This window comes from Homo sapiens, chromosome 1 (assembly GCF_000001405.40).
Source record: "Homo sapiens chromosome 1, GRCh38.p14 Primary Assembly".
Taxonomy (NCBI): Eukaryota; Metazoa; Chordata; class Mammalia; order Primates; family Hominidae; genus Homo; species Homo sapiens.
The window spans coordinates 109100626-109121067 of record NC_000001.11 but is presented as its reverse complement, the minus strand read 5'-3'; the positions used below and the strand labels follow the sequence as shown (position 1 = coordinate 109121067).

The 20442-nt window shown below is 47.0% G+C and overlaps 2 protein-coding genes and 1 pseudogene across 14 annotated transcripts in view, besides 2 other annotated features; 2 read left to right on the top strand and 1 right to left on the bottom strand.

Annotated features, from left to right (window-relative positions):
* Window positions 1-6953, bottom strand: part of ELAPOR1 (endosome-lysosome associated apoptosis and autophagy regulator 1) — a 92667-nt gene extending 85714 nt beyond the window's left edge. For all 6 annotated transcript variants that reach the window (XM_011541825.3, NM_020775.5, XM_011541827.3 and 3 more), the window contains exon 1: window positions 6732-6953. In XM_011541825.3, coding sequence (XP_011540127.1) covers window positions 6732-6884 — 153 coding nt within the window. In that variant the 5' untranslated portion in view covers window positions 6885-6953. The remainder of the gene's footprint in view (window positions 1-6731) is intronic.
* Window positions 7132-7201: a silencer, noted in NCBI's record as "silent region_1142". NCBI's record gives its function as "represses an Ori minimal core promoter by ATAC-STARR-seq in GM12878 lymphoblastoid cells {active_cell/tissue: GM12878}" and the evidence as "EXISTENCE:reporter gene assay evidence [ECO:0000049][PMID:35858748]".
* CFAP276 (cilia and flagella associated protein 276) lies at window positions 7237-15117 on the top strand. 8 transcript variants are annotated; one of them, NM_001122961.3, is made up of 5 exons: window positions 7237-7435; window positions 13031-13147; window positions 13946-14061; window positions 14409-14533; window positions 14970-15117. In NM_001122961.3, exons 1-5 carry the CDS (start codon window positions 7391-7393, stop codon window positions 15038-15040), a joined length of 474 nt encoding a protein of 157 aa, NP_001116433.1. In that variant the 5' UTR covers window positions 7237-7390; the 3' UTR covers window positions 15041-15117. The 8 variants fall into 8 exon arrangements, 6 of the variants coding, with proteins under 6 accessions (NP_001116433.1, NP_001353129.1, NP_001353131.1 ...); NM_001366200.3 differs by having other exon boundaries at window positions 13001-13147; NM_001245025.3 differs by lacking the exon at window positions 7237-7435 and adding an exon at window positions 8321-8469.
* On the top strand, window positions 16300-17820 carry LOC100420092 (poly(rC) binding protein 1 pseudogene; annotated as a pseudogene).
* Window positions 19075-19833: an enhancer, noted in NCBI's record as "H3K27ac-H3K4me1 hESC enhancer chr1:109643857-109644615 (GRCh37/hg19 assembly coordinates)". NCBI's record gives its function as "activates a minimal SCP1, AML or CMV promoter by ChIP-STARR-seq in primed H9 embryonic stem cells {active_cell/tissue: H9 hESC(primed)}" and the evidence as "EXISTENCE:reporter gene assay evidence [ECO:0000049][PMID:30033119]".

Here is a 20442-nt window from a genome sequence, read left to right as displayed (position 1 = left end):
GATACGAAGCGTTATTTTTGCCCACAGGGCACTTCCCTGAAAGACGTTACAATAGCTAAGACTCCTCTCAGATAGAATAGAGAGCAGTAGATAGCTCTTATTGAGTGACATTTCTGTTTTACCCTAAGATGTTACCTACCTTGACACCTTAAGATGCTACTAATTTCCAGAAGCCTGGCCCTAGAAGTTGCTTTCACCTGGACTCTATTTAGTGAGTGATCTGAATGAGAATTCATCTGTCCAGTTTCCAAAATAGAAGAAAACTCATCCCACCTGCGACACATCAGATTACAAAACTGAAAACTGAAGAAAGCTGTAAAAGTCTAGGTAAACACGACCCCCAAGAGCTCTGAAGAAACAGCATTACTTGTGAAGAGAGAGTGTCCCCACAGTTAAGCCCTAACTTGGTATGTCTGGGGCTAAAGTGACTGCCTAGTCTGTTTGGTCTGCTATAACAAAATACCATAGACTAGGTAATTTATAAACAATGGATATTGATTGCTCACAGCTCTGGAGGCTGGGAAGTCCAAGATCAAGGCACCAGCAGATTAGGCGTCCGGTGAGGGCCCATTCCTCAGAGATGGTGCTGTCTACGTGTCCTCATATAGTGGAGGGGGCAAAAATACAGGCCTCTTGTATTTATTTTATTTTATTTTATTTTATTTTATTTTAAGACAGAGTCTTGCTCTGTCACGCAGGCTGGAGTACAGTGGCGTGATCTTGGCTTGCTGCAACCTCTGCCTCCTGGGTTCAAGCAATTCTCGTGTCTCAGCCTCCCAAGTAGCTGGAATTACAGGCATGCACCACCACACCAGCTAGGTTTTGCATTTTTTGTAGAGACAGGGTTTCAACATGTTGGCCAGGCTGGTCTTGAACTCCTGGCCTCAAGCGATCAGCCTGCCTCGGCCTCCCAAAATGCTGGGATTACAGGCATGAGCCATGGTGCCCAGCCCCTCAGGCCTCTTTTATAAGTGCACTAATCCCATAGGATATAATCACCTCCCAAAGGCCCCACCTCTTAATACCATTGCATTGAGGATTAGGTATCAATGTATGAATTTAGGGGGGACACAAACATCAGACCATAGTGGTGACTAAGGTCCTTAATAGAATCCCAATCTCTGGAGTCACTGAAGAATAAATTATGATTAATTCACTCACTTCAGAAAACAATTTGGCATTCTCCTGTAAAGATGAATCTATACACAACCCACAACCCAGCACCCCACTCCTAGGCTTATACCTTCAAGAAACGTGTACCTGCACACCAGAAGACAGGTTCAAAAATGTCCATAGCAGCATTGTTTGAAATAGCAAAACAATGGAAACCCAAATGTCTATTAACAGGAAAACTAATTTTTAAATCGTGGAATATTCACCAAAGGAGTATTTTACAACACCGAAAATGCACAAAATATAGTAACATACAATAACGTAGATGAGTTTAGAAGCTTAGTGTTGAGTTAGAAAAGCAAATGTTATAACTCTATATACAATGCAATATATTTTTACAAAGGTCAAAAATAAACAGATCTAAATAAGATTGTTTAGAGAGACATACATGTGAAAAAAAAAAAAAAAGCAGGCTGAGTGCGGTGGCTCACACCTGTAATTCCAGCAATTTGGGAGGCCGAGGCAGGCAGATCACTAGAGCTCACGAGTTTGAGACCAGCCTGGGCAACATGGAGAAACCCTGTCTCTCCAAAACTACAAAAATTATCAGGGCATGGTGGTGCACACCTGTAATCCCAACTGAGATGGGAGGATGGCTTGAGCCTGGGAGGGGGAGGTTGCAGTGAGCTGAGATGGCACCACCACATTCCAGCCTTCAGAGTAGAGCCAGATCTTGTCTCAAAAAAAAAAAAAAATTAGGCCAGGTGTGGTGGCTCACTCCTGTAATGCCAGCACTTTGGGAGGCCGAGGCGGGCAGATCGCCTGAGGTCAGGAGTTCAAGACCAGCCTGGCCAACATGATGAAATCCCATCTCTAATAAAAATACAAAATTAGCTGGGCATGGTGGCGGGCACCTGTAATCCCAGCTACTTGGGAGGCTGAGGCAGGAGAATTGCTTGAGCCCAGAAGGCGGAGGTTGCAGTGAGCAGAGATCACACCATTGTGCTTCAGCCTGGGCATCAGAGCGAGACTCCGTCTCAAAAAAAAAAAAAAAGAAGAACCAAATACAGGAGGAAACAGAAAAGCCTAGACACTGTGCTCACAAAGTGAAGTAGCGTGCCAAAGGCTCAGGACTTTCTCCCCTGACTACAGGGGCTGATCCCAGGGACATCAGAACTAAGAACAGGGAACACTCTGCTCCCTAAAGCTGTTCTTTCTGCATTTTGGATAGTAACTCCTACCATTCTCCCACTCCAAAATCCTTACAAAAATCCTTGACCCGCCCGTCACCATCACCCTACACCATCAATCAGTTGCCAAATCCTCTAACCTCCACCGTCAGCATGTTTTTCACACAGACGCCTTTCCATGTATTCCACTGCCCCCATCCCAGTGCAGTCCCTTTATTAACCTCCTCCTTGACTTCAGTAATATCTTCAGTATTGGTCTCCTTGCCTCATCTCTCTGCTCTCATCTGTTGGCCCACCTCAACCATGCTTACTTTATATTCATGCTAATCCATTCTGCTTAGGCTGCTATCTCTGCCAGAAATCCTTCAGGGATTCTCCACTTAGTTTAGAATTTTTCAACCTTATCAACTTTGTATCTCACACTATTGCACATTTCAGCCAGCTGGTCTGCTTGCAAGTCCCAGGATCATTTGCATTTTCCACATGTGGACCTTTCGTCAAGCTCCTCCCTCTATCTAGAAAACACCCTTCCTCCATCTCTGCCTACTGAAATGCTGCTGATTATCAATCACAGAAGCAGGTCAAGTGCCAACTGTTTGAATTAATTTTCTTTCTTTCTTTCTTTCTTTTTTTTTTTGAGACGGAGTTTCATTCTTGTCGCCCAGGCTGGAGTACAATGGCGTAATCTCAGTTCACTGCAACCTCCGCCTCCCAGGTTCAAGTGATTCTCCTGCCTCAGTCTCCCAAGTAGCTGGGATTACAGGCATGCACCACCACACCTGGCTAATTTTGTATTTTTAGTAGAGACAGGGTTTCAATGTTGGCCAGGCTGGTTTTGAACTCCCAACCTCAGGTGATCCACCTGCCTCGGCCTCCCAAAGTGCTGGGATTACAGGTGTGAGCCACTGTGCCCCGCCCTGAATTAGTTTTCTTCTTTCTTTTCCTATCATCCTCTATATTGCCACTCCTGCATTGTTTACCACATGTTAATCTTATGACGTCATTTATACGTCATTATCTGTGTACTTAACTGTTCTTCCTACCAACGTTTATTAAGTACCTATGATATATCAAGGGTATGTACTAGGCACTTCACATGTTATTTTATTTAATTTAATTCCTACAACAGCCCTGTGAGATAGGTATTACCATCCCCATTTCACAGATCAGGAATTTGATGCTGACAGAAGTTAATTAACTTCTCAAAGTAGCATCCTTACTAAATGGCATCACTCATTCAACAAATTTTATTCCAATCCATGTCTGCTAGATTCCTAACCCATGGGCTTTTCAATATAGACTGGGGAACCCCTTTGAGGCCAATTAGCCCTGGAGCCTCAGGATAAGGTAGAGCGTGTTAAAGGCAGCTTTCTGCTCCTCTTTGGTTTGATTTGCTTCACTGCACCTTGGGAAATGCTCCTTTGGCTCGCAGTCAGCACTTAGCCTTGGCTAAAGAAACGATTCATGAAAACGAATATCATACAGGATGTTTAGTTCCATTTGTGACCCTGATTATTATAAAACTGTGAGAGGAATGCCAAGCCCCAGCACATGTCCAGCAGTCTAGAACTCCCACTTTGCCACTTCAGTTTAGGCCTCAAGCTAAACCTCTCCGTTTCCTGATTACATCCAGAGGGATGCCTCAGCTTTCACGAACAAGGCTGGAACAATATTATTGTCATTAGGGTCAGCCTTGGCCTGATAAGAGTCCTGCCATCAACACCCAACATCAGCTCACAAGAAATTCGTATGAAGATTAAGAACAGAGAAGAGTGGCTGGGCACAGTGACTCACGCCTGCAGTCCCAGCACTCTGGGAGGCCAAGGCGGGTGGATCACCTGAGGTCAGGAGTTCAAGACCACCCTGGCCAACATGATGAAACCCCATCTCTACTAAAAATACAAAAATTAGCCGGGTGTGGTTGCACATGCCTGTAATCCCAGCTACTTGGGAGGCTGAGGCAGGAGAATTGCTTGAGCCTGGGAGGTGGAAGCTGCAGTGAGCCGAGATCATGCCACTGCACTCCAGCCTGGCCTGGCAACAAAGCCAGACTCTGTCTCACCAAAAAAAAAAAAAAAAAAAAAGAACAGAGAAGAGCTGGTCTACCTTGAATTGGTTTTTCACCATTTGGGGTTGGAAGCCCCCAAACTTGTTTGATCAGTTCATATTGCCAAATGAATACTATAATAATGGGTTTATTCTCTCCCTGATTGTTTTGGAGTTGAGGGTGTTCAATGGCCACTGTTTGCTCAAGGAGAATGTAAACAGGACTTGCTGACGCCTGTGGCAAATGGGCATGCCTCCTAAGCCATTTCCAATCTGGCATGGGGTGTGGATCTAATGGGAAAGAAGCTGAACAGAGAAGGAGGGTGGGTAACTCTCTTTTGTGTTTCCAATGTATTTTCTATTTCAATACTCAAAGCAATCCTTTCTGAGGTAGGTGTTATTTTGATACCCATTCTACAAATCCAAAAACCACGTGGTAAGTAACAGGACTGAAACCCTGGTAGGTTGAGCTCCATAGCTTTCCACTACCTTAAGCTTACACTTTGTGGCAAGACCTTTTGCTTAGGCAAATATTGGTTATTCAAACAGGACCAAAGGCAAAATTCGTACACAAGTTCGAGTTCTCAAGTATCAATATTCTTCCCTTCCTCCAAACCAAGATAATAGAAGTGCTTAATTTCTGAAATGTCTCATATTTTCCATTGTTGACAAAGATCTCAACAAGAATTGGTAGTTAAACTGTATGATTCTTACCTTCCACTCAGGAAACTCCCTTGTTTGATTCTTAGGCAAGTGGGCTTTCTTGGTCTCATTATTTTGGTTGGTTAGACCACAGGCCATCAAGGCCAGTGAGCCAGTCACTGATAAGATCATACTGTTCCCTGCGATCTCTAAAACAGGTCATAATGCGGCTAGGTGGAAATGTAGATGGCCCAGGGCAGGTTGTCATTGGAGCTAATAAAGGTTATCAAAAGTCCCACTCACTGGGGTCACTTATGTCATATTCATGAATCTTCAAAATCAAGTATCTTTATTCACACAAAAATCCTCCCCCCCACACCTGACTTCTTTATGACCTGCTGTGCTGTAGACACAGAACATCTTTATAAGAATTTATCTCCATATGGGATGGAGTTGTTGCCAATCAGTTCACACTAACAATTTATAAAAAATATTCTGGGCTGGGCGCAGTGGCTCATTCTTATAATCCCAGCACTTTGGGAGGCCGAGGTGGGAAGTCGCTTGAGCCCAGGAGTTAGAGACTGGCCGGGGCAGTATATCGAAACCTCATTTCTATTTTAAAACATATATTTTTTAAAGTAAAGAAAATACATCTATATATATATTCTAACCTCTCAAAACCTTAGTCAAGCTTGATATTTGGGATTAAATTTACAGAGCTAGATGCTTGACTTTTTATGAAGTCCTTCACATTTCACAGAAATAACAGAACTTTTATTTTGCCTTCCCCAACGTAGTTCTTGTAAATATCTTATTGTTGCCTCTGCCATATGGTTTCTAAAAAAGTTGCTCAGAGCACAACCAAATATTGTTATTTCAATAACATAGAAATGACTTAGTTTTGTTGCTGCTAGTGCCCTTTTATGTTCCTCCAAGATGACTTTTCAAAAGCTATTTTTGGTTATAAGAGATTGACTACCTATTGTCTGAATTCTGCTTCCAACATATTGGAAATACCTTGAAAAAGACTTTGACATATGTTAAGTCAGAGAAGGAGACTAGAGGTTGGCAGAACACAAGATATTGAAGAACTCAAAATCTGCAAAAAGGTGAGTCGTGTACTGTCAGGTACACTAAACATAGTACGCTGCGGGGAGGCCAAGCTATAAGGAGGAGACACATTTTACAGTCTGCACTAACCGATGTTTAATAAACAAGGAACTAGAGAGCTGGAATCCTATCATCCCTCTCGCACATCTCCCACCTTCACACTCCGTTTTGTGTAGCCATGATAAAACCACTTCGCTCTGATACTTTTTTCTGGCCTTCCTAACTCCTTTCCTCTCCCACTACTCTTCTTTCCTCTTCCTATTTTGCTTCTCTGTGCATAATCTTTTCTTGTCAACCACTTTTAAGGTGAGTTCATCCTAACTGGAAAATAACTCGTCTGCCTCCCTCATTCTGAGTTCAGGTACCCAGGTAGCTCCCCTTCTTGGGGCTGGGACCTTTCTCGCTGAGCTCAGCATCCCAATCTGTGAGGATGATCTATCCGTGAGTCCTCCAATGTGCTGGCCTCCTCATGACGCCAGACTGGCTCCTCTTCCCTCCCCCCACGCCTCATCCCCAAAGAAATCTAAACTCCGTGGCGTCTGAAACTCTCTGCGCCTGGGTCCCCAAGGTCTCCGCCTGGATCCAAGACTTTTGTGACCAAAGCGGGATCGGGTAGGGGGGCGGCAGTACCTCTTTGCAGGCATGAAGCTCCGGTCCCGTTCCCTGGGTCACCTGGAAGGCGGTCCCAGCCCAGAGCAGCAGCCGCCACAGCCGGGGTATGCGCCTCTCAGTTCTTCCCCTGACTCTGGCGGAGAGATGGTGGCTGTGCCCAGGCTCAGCCATAGCGTTGTCCTGAGTGAGCGGCAGTAGCGGCTCAGGTGCTGCGGCTGCTGCTTCTGCTGGCAGAAGGCGGAAAAAAAGGGGAGGGAGGTACACAGGCGGAGGATGCAAGAGGCCAGGCTCGCTTCAGTCACCTCCCTGCGGCTACGCCAACACCGCCCATCCTTCCTCCTCCCTCTGTCCTCTCCTCCTACCCACGTCGCCTTGACAACCGCCTCCTCTCTGGCTCCGCGCGGGTGGGGCAGGGACCACGCGCGCCTCTGCAGCTCACCTGCGGGTCGCCATGGCAGCCGCCGCCGCTGGTGCGCGCGGCGTGGGCGCGGGAGAGCGCGCGCCCGGGGTGCGCAACCGGCCCAACAGGCAGGCCCGGGGCTCGTGTGAAGAACACAGTGGAAGCATCCTCCAAGCCAGCCAACAAATTTCCGTTTTCTACTGCCCTTTCGGGCCAGGGGTTATTTTATGAGCATCTCCGATGTTGCACACGTGGCGTGTGAACCGAGAGAAAGAAGATGGAGAGATCACCCTCCAGACGTCGTCGCCTGGAAGAGGCCCCAGTACGTGTTCCCTCCTACGAAGGCCACTCCTGGAGATCTTACATCCCGCCAAATCCATCCGTGCTTTTACAACCGGCTAGAAGAGAAGCCCTGACACTGTAGTTGATCCGAGTTTAAGCGAGGAGTTTGCCTTAGCCGCAATTTCCCAAGCGCCGCACGTGGGCCTCTCTCTCTCTCTCTCTCTCTCTCTCTCTCTCTCTCTCTCTCTCTCTCTCTTTCTCTCTCTCTCTCTCTCTCTCTGAGACAGGGTCTCACTCTCTCGCCCACACTGGAGTGCAGTGGCGCGATCTCGGCTAACTGCAACCTCCGCCTTCCGGGTTCAAGAGATTCTCCTGGATTAGCCTCCCGAGTAGCTGGGACTACGGGCGCGTGCCACCAAGCCCAGCTAATTTTTTTCCTACTTTTTGTAGAGACGGGGTTTCGCCATGTTGCCCAGACTGGTCTCGAACTCTTGGGCTTAAGCGATCCGCCCGCCTCCGCTTCCCAAAGTGCTGAGATTACAGGCGTGAACCACCGCGCCCGGCCCTCTTTGGTCTCTTGACATCCTCATTCTCTCATGGCTTTGAAAGCCTTTTGTTAGGTGCGAGGGAGAAGGAAATTTCTGGGTCATCTTTCAGGACTTCTTTCCTCAACTGAAGTCTTTTGCAGAAGTCCTGATGGTGAGCAGCCAGCACTTTTCCGCCGAGGCTCAGGAGTGCAATTCCAAGTCTCGGGCCCGCTCAGCGGAACGTTCCCTCTGCAGTCCCCGGAGCTTCCTCCCCAGGGGCCTCCCGTGGTCAGCCGCCAGGTGGCGCCCTCCTCTGAGGGAATTCCTCTGTCATAGATGGCTGGGCAGTTGCCTGGCAACCGAAACCAGCGCTCCAAACAATTGGGACCCGGGATCTTATGCCAGTGAGGCTGTGCTGCGGCTGAGCGGGCCTCCCATCCCTCTTAAAAGAGTTAGGCATTTAGCCATGCCTCCCACCCGGGACCCTTTCCAGCAGCCTACATTAGATAACGATGATTCCTACTTAGGAGAACTGCGGGCTTCCAAGGTACTGTGGTTTCTTGCGCAGATTCCCAGTAGGGTCGCCGGTAGTCTTCTTTCTGTCTGTGTGATGAGCAGAGATGGTAACATAAAGGACTCTGGTGAAGACACTCAGTCGGGTACCAGGGAAGTCTGTTTTCTGCCTGCCTCCCTATCTCCATATTCAAGTCGGCTAACGTTTCAGAGGCGTTTTTGAGCAGAGGAAAGTAGAGTTCTAGTCTAGAGGAACAAGGGGCTCTGGCAGCTCAAATCAATTGTGAGTATAAGTTATGGCAGTGCCCAGGTTCCTTCAAGCTACCCATTTCCCTATTTGGAAGACTGTTCTCTGAAGAGAAATGAGATATGGAGTGGGAGAGAATCCTCTGAAAGCCACCAGAGGTCATGCTTTACACATCTGTGTTCACACTGTCTCTGTCTTCTGGTTAACACCACAATATGTTTGTTATGTGTGTGTTTAGCATGATGGTGGACACTGATTTCGGAACTTAGATGATCTTTTTTCTGGTAGAAGTGATTGGGATATATGAAGTGGTGCACAATAAGATGAATTAAGTGGTGATTGTGGTCTAATAACAATATTGAGAGCCCCTTTTTATTTATTCAATACTTATTTACTATAAGCCAGACACTCTGCTAAACGCCAAGGATATATAAATAAATTAGATGTAGCTTCTGCTGTCAAGGAACTCTAGTAGTAAAGAGAGACCGACAATAGCAAAAATGCTTGCACAATAGCACATGTTGTGACAGAGTTGTGTGCAGGGTGCCGTGAGAACCAGGAACTTAAAGGAAAGCTTCACAGAGCAGATGCATTTTGATGTCCAAATATGAGTTAGGTAGGCCAGGTGAGGGAGTGGATAGAATGTGAGTTAGGAAGAAGGAAACAGGAACCAGATATGCAAGGCAAAGGAAGCAGCAGGTGCAAATACATGGAAAGGAGAGAGAGAATGGCTTATTTGGGGAACTGCAAATAGTCTAGAAGGGCTGGAGTGTAGGCGTGCAATGGAAGCACTCAGAAATCAGAGCTGGAGAGATGCCCTTGGTTGGCTGGGTGTGCTGTGTACACCATGCTAGCTAGCTATGGTTTCATCCTAGGGATGTGAGGAATCATTGTGGGATATTTTTTTTTTTTTGAGACAGGGTCTCCTTGCTCTGTCACCCCAGCTGGAGTGCACTGGTGCAATCTTGGCTTACTGCAGCCTCGAACTCCTGGGCTCAAGCAATTCTCCCACCTCAGCCTCCCAAGTAGCTGGGACTACAGGTGATGCCACCACACCCGGCTAATTCTTATTTTATTTTTTTGTAGAACCAGGATCTTCCTTTGTTGCCCAGGCTGGTCTCAAACTCCTAGCCTCAAGTGATCCTCCTGCTTTGGCCTCCCAAAGTGCTGAGATTACAGGCATGAGCCATGGGTCCCAGCCCCATAGCAGGATTTTAAGTACCACAGTGACACAATCAGATGGGTGTTTTAGGAAGCACAAGTGGCAGCAGACTGGATAGGATGAGAGTGAGACAAGAGGGATCAGCTAGGAGGCAGGTGAGGTGATCTCCAGGAGGAAGAGTAACAGATCTACAGCAGTGCCACAGGGGGTGGTGATCAGGTGCAGATGTGAGAAAGGTGCACAGGGCAGGACTGACAGGACTTGGAGACTGACTGGACATGGGCCCAAGAGAGGAGGTGAGTCTAGGATAGCTGCTGGGTTCCTAACGGTTTAATTCTGAGGTTTCACTGAAATGGGGCATCCTGGGGAAGCAGGTTTGGGGAGAAAGATGTTGAGAAACATCAACTATGTAGATGTTTTTGTAGTGACTGTGGTATATTTAAGTGAAGGTCAATAGTAGGCAACAGGATTGAGAGTTCTGGATTGAAGATGTATGACTGAGCTGTGTATCCGTATGAGCTATGGTACCCATATGGTAGTTGAAGCCATGGAAGGGAATCAGCTCATCCAGTGGATGTGAGCATAAGAAAAGTAAAAATGAGACCCTTGGAGAATAGCACTGCCTAAGGGACAGAGAGAAAGTGGAGCTGAGACAGTAGCTGAGAGATAAGGGCCAGAAATAAGAGGAAAACCCAGAGGAGCTGGGCCCACAGAGCTTGGTGAGGGCATTTGAGGGAATCAGCATTATGGTGCCAGAAACAGCTGAGTTCAAATAAGATCAGGCCTGGAAAGGATCCACCTGACCTGGCCACAGAGATCATTGATAACTAGCAAGAGCAGTTTTAGGGGGTGCTTGAGGCAGAGGCCAGACTGCAGTGAGCTAAAGAGGGTATGGGAATGGTGAGTGAGGAAGTAGAGATAGTAAATATTGACTCCTGAAAAGGTCTGGTTCTGTAGGGAAGGTGACAGGCTGGTAGCTAGACCACGACAAAGAAATGAAGTGAGGCTGGGGTCAGAAGAGAGCGTATGCAGAATGGTACAGGTCTCAGAAGACCAGGGAAGGGTGGGTCTGGGGAGAAAGGGTTATTCTTGAGTAAAAGGGACTTTCCTTTCCCTGAGATGGAAAGAAAGTGGATGTAAAGATGGCATTCATGCTTGACAGTCTGGACTTTCTCAGTGAAAGACAGACTCATCCTTCTGCTGACAGAGATGACGAGGTTTAAGTGGTCTTCAAGGAGAGTGGGAGGAGTGCTGCTCAGGGCCACATCAAAGGACAACTGAGCCTATGCTGGCATCAAATACCTGTAGCTTTCTTTCTTTCATACTTCATTCTTCTCAGTGATAGCACAGTGCCTGATACACACTGTTCAATTAAGGTATGACTCACAGCGGGGCACGGTGGCTCATACCTGTAATTCCAGCAGTTTGGGAGGCTGAGGCAGGTGGATCACCTGAGGTCAGGAGTTTGAGACCAGTCTGGCCAATGTGGTGAAGCCCCATCTCTAATAAAAATACAAAAATTAGCCAGATGCGGTGGCACATGCCTGTAATCCTAGCTATTCGGGAGGCTAAGGCTGGAGAATCGCTTGAACCCAGGAGGCGGAGGTTGCAGTGAGCCGAGATCATGCCACTGTACTCCAGTCTGGGCGACAGAGCGAGACTCTGTCTCAAAAAAAAAAAAAAAAAAAAAGGTATGGCTCACATAGCACTTTGCCATATTGTGGGGAAGGAGGATTACAATGTTGGATAGGTCTAATGAGAGTTCTATTTTTTTTGAGACAGAGTCCCACTCTTGTTGCCCAGGCTGGAGTGCAGTGGCGCGATCTCGGCTCACTGCAACCTCCACCTCCTGGGTTCAAGCGATTCTCCCTCCTCAGCCTCCCAAGTAGCTGAGATTACAGGCGCCCACCACTACCCCCAGCTAATTTTTGTATTTTAGTAGAGATGGAGTTTCATCATGTTGGTCAGGCTGGTCTCAAACTCCTGACCTCAGGTGATCCGCCCGCCTCAGCCTCCCAAAGTGCTGGGATTACAGGGGTGAGACACTGCACCCAGCGAGAGTTCTAATAGGTTGTTAGTTGCACTCACTGGAATTCAGTCAAATGATATAGTGGATTCAAGCATTTTTTAATACCATGTGTTAGGTAGTGTGCTAGGAACTGGGGATACAGTGGTGAATATGGCATTTTACATATAATGAAGAAATCTGTTACATGCTTTTTACATTCATGCCTGTGGAGTTTTATTGAGAGGACTAATGTCCAGTGGACTTTTTCTGCCATTCCTGCAATCAATGACCCTTCCCTGCTTATTGGAATCTTTTTCTCACCTGCTTAGACATTGCATTCTCCTGATTTCGTCTCTGACTGCTTCTCTAGGGCCCTCCTCACTCCCAGTTATAATACTGTACAATCCTCACAAACCCGTTCTTCCCTTTTGGCCTGACTCCATTTTGCAGGCTTCAGCTACTACTTCATGTGGACAACCAAGACTTCTGAGCTCTCCTCCAACAAGTTACACTTCCAATTTTCTACCTGTTATTTGCATTAGAATGTCTCACCTTTTCTTCAAACTCAGTACATCTAAACCTAAGCTCATCATTTTTCCTATCTGCTCCCAACTCTTCACTCCCCTCATCCCACTCCACACCTTCTCCTATATTCCTGGCCTGTTTCTGTCAGTTCTCATTAAGAAAACATAGGAGGATCAAGAGCCTGGGGAGTCTTGCCCCATACCATTCTTCTCTTTGCAGATGTCTGAGATTCAAATAAAACTAGATGGGGCCGGGCATGATGGCTCATACCTGTAATCTGAGCACTTTGGGAGGCTGAGACAGGTGTATCACTTGAGGCCAGGAGTTGAAGGCCAGCCTGGCCAACATGGTGAAACTCTGTTTCTACTAAAAATACAAAAATTAGCCGGGCATAGTGGCACATGCCTGTAATCCCAGCTACTTGAGGGGCTGAGACAGAAGAGTCACTTAAACCCAAGAGACAGAGGTTGCAGTGAGCCGAGATCTCGCCACTGCACTCCAGCTTCTATGACAGAGTGAGATTCTGTCTCAAAAAATAAAACAAAACAAAAAACACAAAACTGGATGGAATAAGGGGATGCTACTGAAGCTAACCACATCAGCAAGGCTTCCCGTATAACCAGGTTGTCCTGGATACGGTTTCTCTTTTGCAGAAATTGCCATATAAGAACCCAACACACCTTGCTCAGCAGCAGGAACCCTGGAGTCGGCTCAACTCAACCCCCACAATTACTTCCATGAGGCGGGATGCCTACTATTTTGATCCCGAGGTACCTAGCATTGAAATATTATTCCTCTTTGCAGCCGTTTAGGGCTTTTTTTTTTTTTCCTGTCACCCAGGGTGGAATGCTGTGGCCTGATCATGGTTTACCGTAGCCTGAACCTCCCAGGCTCAGGCAATCCTCCTGCCTCTGCCTCCTGAAACTATAGGCATGTGCCATGACATGCAGCTAATTTTTTTTTTTGAAGAGATGAGGTCTCGATATGTTGCTCAGGCTGATCTCAAACTCCTGGCCTCAAGCGATCCTCCCACTTCAGCCTCCCGAAGTGCTGGGATTATAGGCATGAGCCACTGCACCCAGCCCTTAATATTCTTTTTGAAATTTAGTCTGTCCCTAACTGCTTCAGTACTTTTCCTTTTGTCTCTAACCCAAGATCCTACCAAATCCAAAGCCAAAAATCAATTTATCTGGCCTCTGGGAAGCCAGAAGGCTTAGGTTTTGCTCTAGGCAGTTATCTAGAGCAAATGATTTTACAAACCTTCTCATTCTCTAACTAAAACAAGGACTGAATATAAACATGAATGAGGTAAAGTTCATTAAGCCCACATCAGGAACAATATTCCTGAGTCTCCAGTGAGAGCTCACCACTCCCTAGACCTAACCCAAAGATAATTCCATATCAACAAGAGTTATCATATACAACAATTTAGTGTGTACGGAGTTGGTGGATTTCAGGCCCAAGAGAGCCTTCACTATACTTTTGGGGAAGAGTAGAGCACAATAGAACCTGACTAGAGCAGGGACACAGGTGGCTGAGCTAACCTTGGGGGGGACTGACTTCTGTAGATACCAAAGGATGACCTGGACTTCCGCTTAGCAGCCTTGTACAACCACCACACTGGGACATTCAAGAACAAAAGTGAGATACTGTTAAACCAGAAAACCACGCAGGATACCTATAGGTAAGTGGTAGAGGCAGAGCCTCTCCAGCCTAAACATGCTGCCATCCAGTCATATAAGGTAAAATGTCACCTGGAAAATGATAATCACTAGGTACTCATTTGTATACAAATTTCTGTATTTTTACATCTGTGTCTATAATATAGTTTCTGTATTTTCACTGTCTAAGATGAACAGAAATCTCCCAAGATTGTGCTCATCTGTATAAACAAAATCTTTGGTTAATCCCACAGAGGTAAAAAGAGTCTTTGGCTGCTTTATTCTTGAGATCACATTCAACTACCTTGCCTTCCTCACCTTTCTCTGATTGATTTCACTCTCCACTTTTCTTCCCTATGCCTTCTTCTAGAACCAAGATCCAATTCCCTGGAGAATTTTTAACCCCTCCCACTCCACCCATCACTTTCCTGGCTAACATCAGACACTGGATCAACCCTAAAAAGGAGTCCATCCACAGCATCCAAGGATCCATAGGTAAGGGTTAGAGGACTGGGTAAGCAGATGGGGCAGTGGGGGAGTCTTTCTAAATGGACCCATGAATCAGGGATTTAAGGTGATTGGACAGTAGGGAAGATGAAGGATATCTGTGGGTCTTGGAAAGCAATGATTAAGTTGGCAAGTACCAGATTAATACCAGGGGACATGCTGACTATAGAGCTAGGAAATTAATTCAATTTTTCAGAGCCTCTTTGCTCAGCCTTAGGTCTAGGAGACAAACATTTACAGCAAGGGCAAAAACCTGGGGGTGGAAGACCTATAAGTACCTCCCATCAGTCCTCCATATGCCGGTTTTCCCAGCTGTTATGAGAAGCTTCTCCACAGTACCTACAAATGTATTGATGTTTAAAGTTTCCTAGAAAAGGCCAACGATCTGAAATTCAGTCCACTTCCTCTTCTCTTTTCTCCACAGTGTCCCCTCACACTGCAGCCACCAATGGAGGCTACTCCCGAAAGAAAGATGGTGGCTTCTTCTCCACCTAGTGTTGACAGATCCCTGAACTAATTATAGTGAAACATACTGCGGCCCACTTCCATTAAATAGATTTGTGCAAGATGAAGTCTGAAGTGTCTGTTATCCATAGATTACAAATTGCCACTTGACCACTTTTTTTTTTTTTTTTTTTTTTGAGACAGAGTCTCGCTCTGTCGCCCAGGCTGGAGTGCAATGGCACGATCTCGGGTCACTGCAACCTCTGCTTCCCGGGTTCAAGTGATTCTCCTGCCTCAGCCTCCTGAGTAGTAGGGACTACAGGCACACGCCACCACGCCTGGCTAATTTTTGTATTATTAGTAGAGACAGGGTTTCACCATGTTGGCCAGGGTGGTCTTGAACTCCTGACTCATGATCCACCCACCTCAGCCTCCCAAAGTGCTGGGATTACAGGTGTGAGCCACCACGCCCGGCCTCCACTTGACTACTCTTAAAACACGGGAAGGAAATTACCCATCTCGTAGAAACTAGTCCTTTGGGGTATATTTGCAACTTGGAAAATCATATCTTGCTGATGAAGATTTAGGACACAACAGCAGTCTTTGGTAGGATACAGATATTCATATTTTGTAAACTGAAGTCACTCCAACCATACAGAGCCATCCATTCAACACTGCCAGCAAACCTTTATGTGCCAGGAACTGAGCTAAGTGTTGAGGAAACAAAAATGGACATGAGCTACCTTGTATTTTCAGAAGCTCCAAATAACATCAGTATTTATGCTAAGGTCACACTTAAGAGATTTAGCCGTCCTGGGTTTAGGCATTTGCTGGGCTTTACTTTTCCTTGGTTCCATCTCCCTGGTCCTGACTCGCCACTGTTAATCTCTAACTCTGCTATTTGTCCTTGCCTGGGAGTCAACTCCCTTTCCTTTGTGTCAATTCGTGCTGTGATATATAGCCCTGATTCTTATAAACATGGTTCAAAAACCTGGTGCTTGGGTTTGCAGTACCTAAAAACTGATGTATTCAGTGATTTCCAAAATTACAAGTCACTCACAGGGACCTGCTGTGTCATAAAAAAGATTGGACAAGAATGGCAAACCTTTTAGAATATTGCACAATAGGTGTGATGGCTCATGCTTGTAATGCCAACACTTTTAGCTGAGGCATGAGGAACACTGGAGCCCGGGAGATTGAGCCTGCAGTGAGCCATGATGGAGCCACTGCGCTCCAGCCTGGGCAACAGAGTGAGACCCTGTCTCAAAACAATTAAATAAGTAGTTTTCTAAGCTAAAAAAGAGAGAAAGGTTTGGGAAAGGCAGATTTAAGATCAAAGAGATCCGCGAGAGTATGGTACCCAGGTCTAGGTGGTGGGGGATATACTGCTCAACTCCACTGAGAGGGCCATCACCATCGGTTTGTCAAAGAGATCTGCCTGATCATGCCGGAAACGCTCTCCCAGTCTTCCCAGGGGAGAGTCATGACCATTCCATACCAGCCCATGCCGGCCAAGTCCCCAGTCATCTGCGCGGGCGGCCAAGATCGTTGCAGCAAGGCTGTGGGCTACCCCCGAGGCACCCGTGACCTGGAGGGACCACCTCTAGATGCCTACTCGATTCAAGGACAACACATCATTTCTCCGCTTGATCTGGCCAAGCTGAACCAGGTGGCAAGACAACAATCTCACTTTGCCATGATGCACGGCGGGACCGGATTCACCCGAATTGACTCCAGTTCTCCAGAGGTGAAAGGCTAAGCAAGTTTGGATACATCTACTCAAACTATGGAGGGGCGCGGTGGCTAACTTCTGTAATCCCAGCACTTCAGGAGGCCGAGACAGGCAGATCACTTGAGGTCAGGAATTCGAGAACAGCCTGGCCAACATGGCGAAACCCCATCTCTACCAAAAATACAAAAATTAGCCGGGTGTAGTGGAGGGCGCCTGTAATCCCAGCTACTTGGGAGGCTGAGGCAGAATCGCTTGAATCTGGGAGGCGGAGGTTGCAGTGAGCTGAGATTGTGCCACTGCACTCCAACCTAGGTGACAAAGCAGGACTCCGTCTAAAAAAAAAAAACAACCAAGGCTGGACGCGGTGGCTCACGCCTGTAATCCCAGCACTTTGGGAGGCCGAGGCGGATCACGAGGTCAGGAGATCCAGACCATCCCGGCTAACATGGTGAAACCCCGTCTCTACTAAAAATACAAAAAAAAAAAAAAAAAAAAACTAGCCGGGCATAGTGGCGGGCGCCTGTAATCTACTCGGGAGGCTGAGGCAGGAGACTGGCGTGAACCCGGGAGGCAGAGCTTGCAGTGAGCCCAGATCACGCCACTGCACTCCAGCCTGGGCTACTGAGCGAGACTCCGTCTCAAAAAAAAAAAAAAAAAAAAACAACCAAACAAAAATCTACTCAAACCACCCACAAATTCACCATTCCAGATAACTTAATTGGCTGTGTAATCGGCCCCCAAGGCGCCAACATTAATGAGATCCGCCGGATGTCCGGGGCCCAGATCAAAACTGCCAACCCAGTGGAAGGGTCTTGATAGGCAGGGTACCATCAGGGGCTCTGCTGCTAGTGTCAGTCTGGGCCAGTATTTAATCAATGCCAGGCTTTCCTCTGAGAAGGGTACGGAGCGCAGCTAGAATAGTGTAGGTTCCCTCAATAACCCCTTTGTGCTGTTTTCCCATGATCCAACTGTGTAGTTTCTGGTGAGTGATTCCAGCTTTTAAATAATTTGTAAGTGTTCAGTTTCTACACAACATCATCTGCTAAGAATTTTAAAATCACATTCTCTGTTCAGCTGTTAATGCTGGGAACCATTTTTAATTTTATAAGCTTTTCCCTGTTTTTAGTTTTGTTTTGGGCTTTTTGGGTCATGAATTTTATTTGTCGATAAAATATTTAAGAGTGAAATGTTAATAAGTTTCACTTTAGTTCTGTAATATCAAGAATTTAAGAATTGGCTGGGCGCGGTGGCTCATGCCTGTAATCCCAGCACTTTGGGAGGCTGAGACCAGGAGATCACAAGGTCAGGAGTTTGCGACCAGCCAGTTCGATACCAGCCTGGCCAACATGGTGAAACCTTGTCTCTACTAAAAATACAAAAATTAGCTGGGTGTGGTGGCACACGCCTGTAATCCTAGCTACTCGGGAGGCTGAGGCAGGAGAATCGCTTGAACCCGGGAGGTGGAGGTTGCAGTGAGCCGAGACGGAGCCACTGCACTCCAGCCTGGGCGACAGAGTGAGACTGCATCCAAGGGAAAAAAAAAAAAAATTAAGAATTAAAACAAGCCAGGCACAGTGGTTCATGCCTGCAATCCCAACACTTTCGGAGGCTGAGGTAGGTGGATCACCTGATGTCAGGAGTTCCATACCAGTCTAGCCAACATGGTGAAACCCCATCTCTACTAAAAATACCAAAAAATTAGCCGGGTGTGGTGGTGGGCGCCTGTAACTCCAGCTACTTGGGAAGCTGAGGCAGGAGACTCCCTTTAACCCCAGAGGGGGAGGTTGCAGTGAGCTGAGATGGGGCCACTGCACTCCAGACTGGTCAACAGGAGCGAAACTCTGTCTAAAAAAAAAAAAAAGTAAAATAAAAAAAGGAAAAATAATAGAATATCGTGCAATAAATTCCCATTTCTAATTAAGTTTGACAACATAATTGCTGAGCAATTCAGATATGAAAGGGCTTCTTTCAGGCACTCAGGTGGAGGGTCCTTAAGCCAAACTGTTAAGAGTCCCCTTCCAGCCAGGCGCGGTGGCTCACGCCACCCAGCACTTTGGAATTACAATCCCAGCACTTTAGAAGGCTGAAGTGGGTGGATCATCTGAGGTCAGGGGTTCAAGACCAGCCTGGGCAACATGGTGAAACCCCGTTTCTACTAAAAATACAAAATTAGCTGGGCGTGGTGGTGCGTGCCTGTAGTCCCAGCTATTTGGGAGGCTGAGACAGAAGAATTGCTTGAACCCGGGAGGTGGAGGTTGCAGTGAGCCAAGATCGCGCCACTGCACTCCAGCCTGGGCAACAGAGTGAGGCTCCGTCTCTAAATAAATAAATAAATAGAGTCCCCTTCCACCCAGACTTTCCGACCTATTCACATATCTGCTGCCAAGTGGCTATATGAAGTTTCAGATCTCATTATTTAGAGTGGCTTAAGGTGGCAGAGGCATGACTACCTGGATAATCACATTATGGAGGTTGAGATACTAAACATCAAAAAAAGGCATTTGCTTTTAAAAACATGGATTCCTAGACCTCCCTGATAATTCTAATTCAGTATATTCCAGGAGTGTCCCTGGAACATTTCATGTTCTCTTAATGGACATATACATGTATAAGGACATACTAGACAGTGTGTGTATAACCCTTAGCGGCAGATGCTGTACCATGCCGTTAGCCCTGGGGATACAAGTGTTGGTAGCATACAAAAAATGTCAAGCCGGCCGGGCGCCGTAGCTCACGCCTGTAATCCCAGCACTTTGGGAGGCCGAGGTGGGTGGATCACCAGGTCAGGAGATCGAGACCATCCTGGCTAACATGGTGAAACCCCGTCTCTACTAAAAAATACAAAAATTTAGCCGGGCGTGGTGGTGGGCGCCTGTAGTCCCAGCCACTCGGGAGGCTGAGGCAGAATGGCGTGAACCCGGGAGGCGGAGCTTGCAGTGAGCCGAGATCGTGCCACTGCACTCCAGCCTGGGCGACAGAGCAAGACTCCGTCTCAAAAAAAAAAAAAAAAAAAAAGTCAAGCCAAGCCTAAAGAAAAACAAGGAGAGGACTGGCGTTATGGCGTGCACTGATAGTCCCAGCTACTGGGCAGGCTGAGGTAGGAGAATCTCTTGAGCCTGGGAGGTCGAGACTGCAGTGAACTATGATTGCGCCACTGCACTCCAGCCTGAGAAACAGAGTGAGACCGTTTCAAAAAAAAAAAAGAAAGAAAGAAAAACTAAAAAAGGGGCCGGGCGCGGTGGCTCATGCCTGTAATCCCAGCACTTTGGGAAGCCGAGGCGGGCGGATCACTTGAGGCTGGAGTTCGAGACCAGCCTGGCAAAACATGGTGAAACCCCGTCTCTACCAAAAGATACAAAAATTAGCCGAGCGTGGTGACGCGCGCCTGTAGTTCCACCTATTCGGGAGACAGAGATGTGAGGATCGCTTGAGCCAAGGAGGTCGAAGTTGCAGTGAGCCGATATTGCGGTTCTGCACTCCAGTCTGGGCGACAGAGCAAGACCCTGTCTCAAAAAAAAAAAAAAAGGAACAAAAGAAAAAAGAAAAACAAGGAGAAATGGGAAAGTGGGAGGAAAGTATATCAGCGGCCAAAAAGGCCTCCGCGACCTTCCAGCTCCAGGGGGAGGGGCAGCGGCTCATTTACCCTTGGCCACCGCGCTCAGCATCCCCGCCCGCCGCCGCCGTTCACGTGCTCGCCCCTACGCCACCGGCAGCCCGCAGC

Bases quoted from the DNA above. Each gene is read 5' to 3' on its own strand.
- CFAP276 (XM_011540647.3), top strand. From the start codon at position 8,389: ATGCCTCCCACCCGGGACCCTTTCCAGCAGCCTACATTAGATAACGAT. The intron at 8,470-13,000 runs GTACTGTGGTTT...CCGTATAACCAG, and splicing joins GAGAACTGCGGGCTTCCAAG to GTTGTCCTGGATACGGTTTC. The intron at 14,534-14,969 runs GTAAGGGTTAGA...TTTTCTCCACAG, and splicing joins CAGCATCCAAGGATCCATAG to TGTCCCCTCACACTGCAGCC.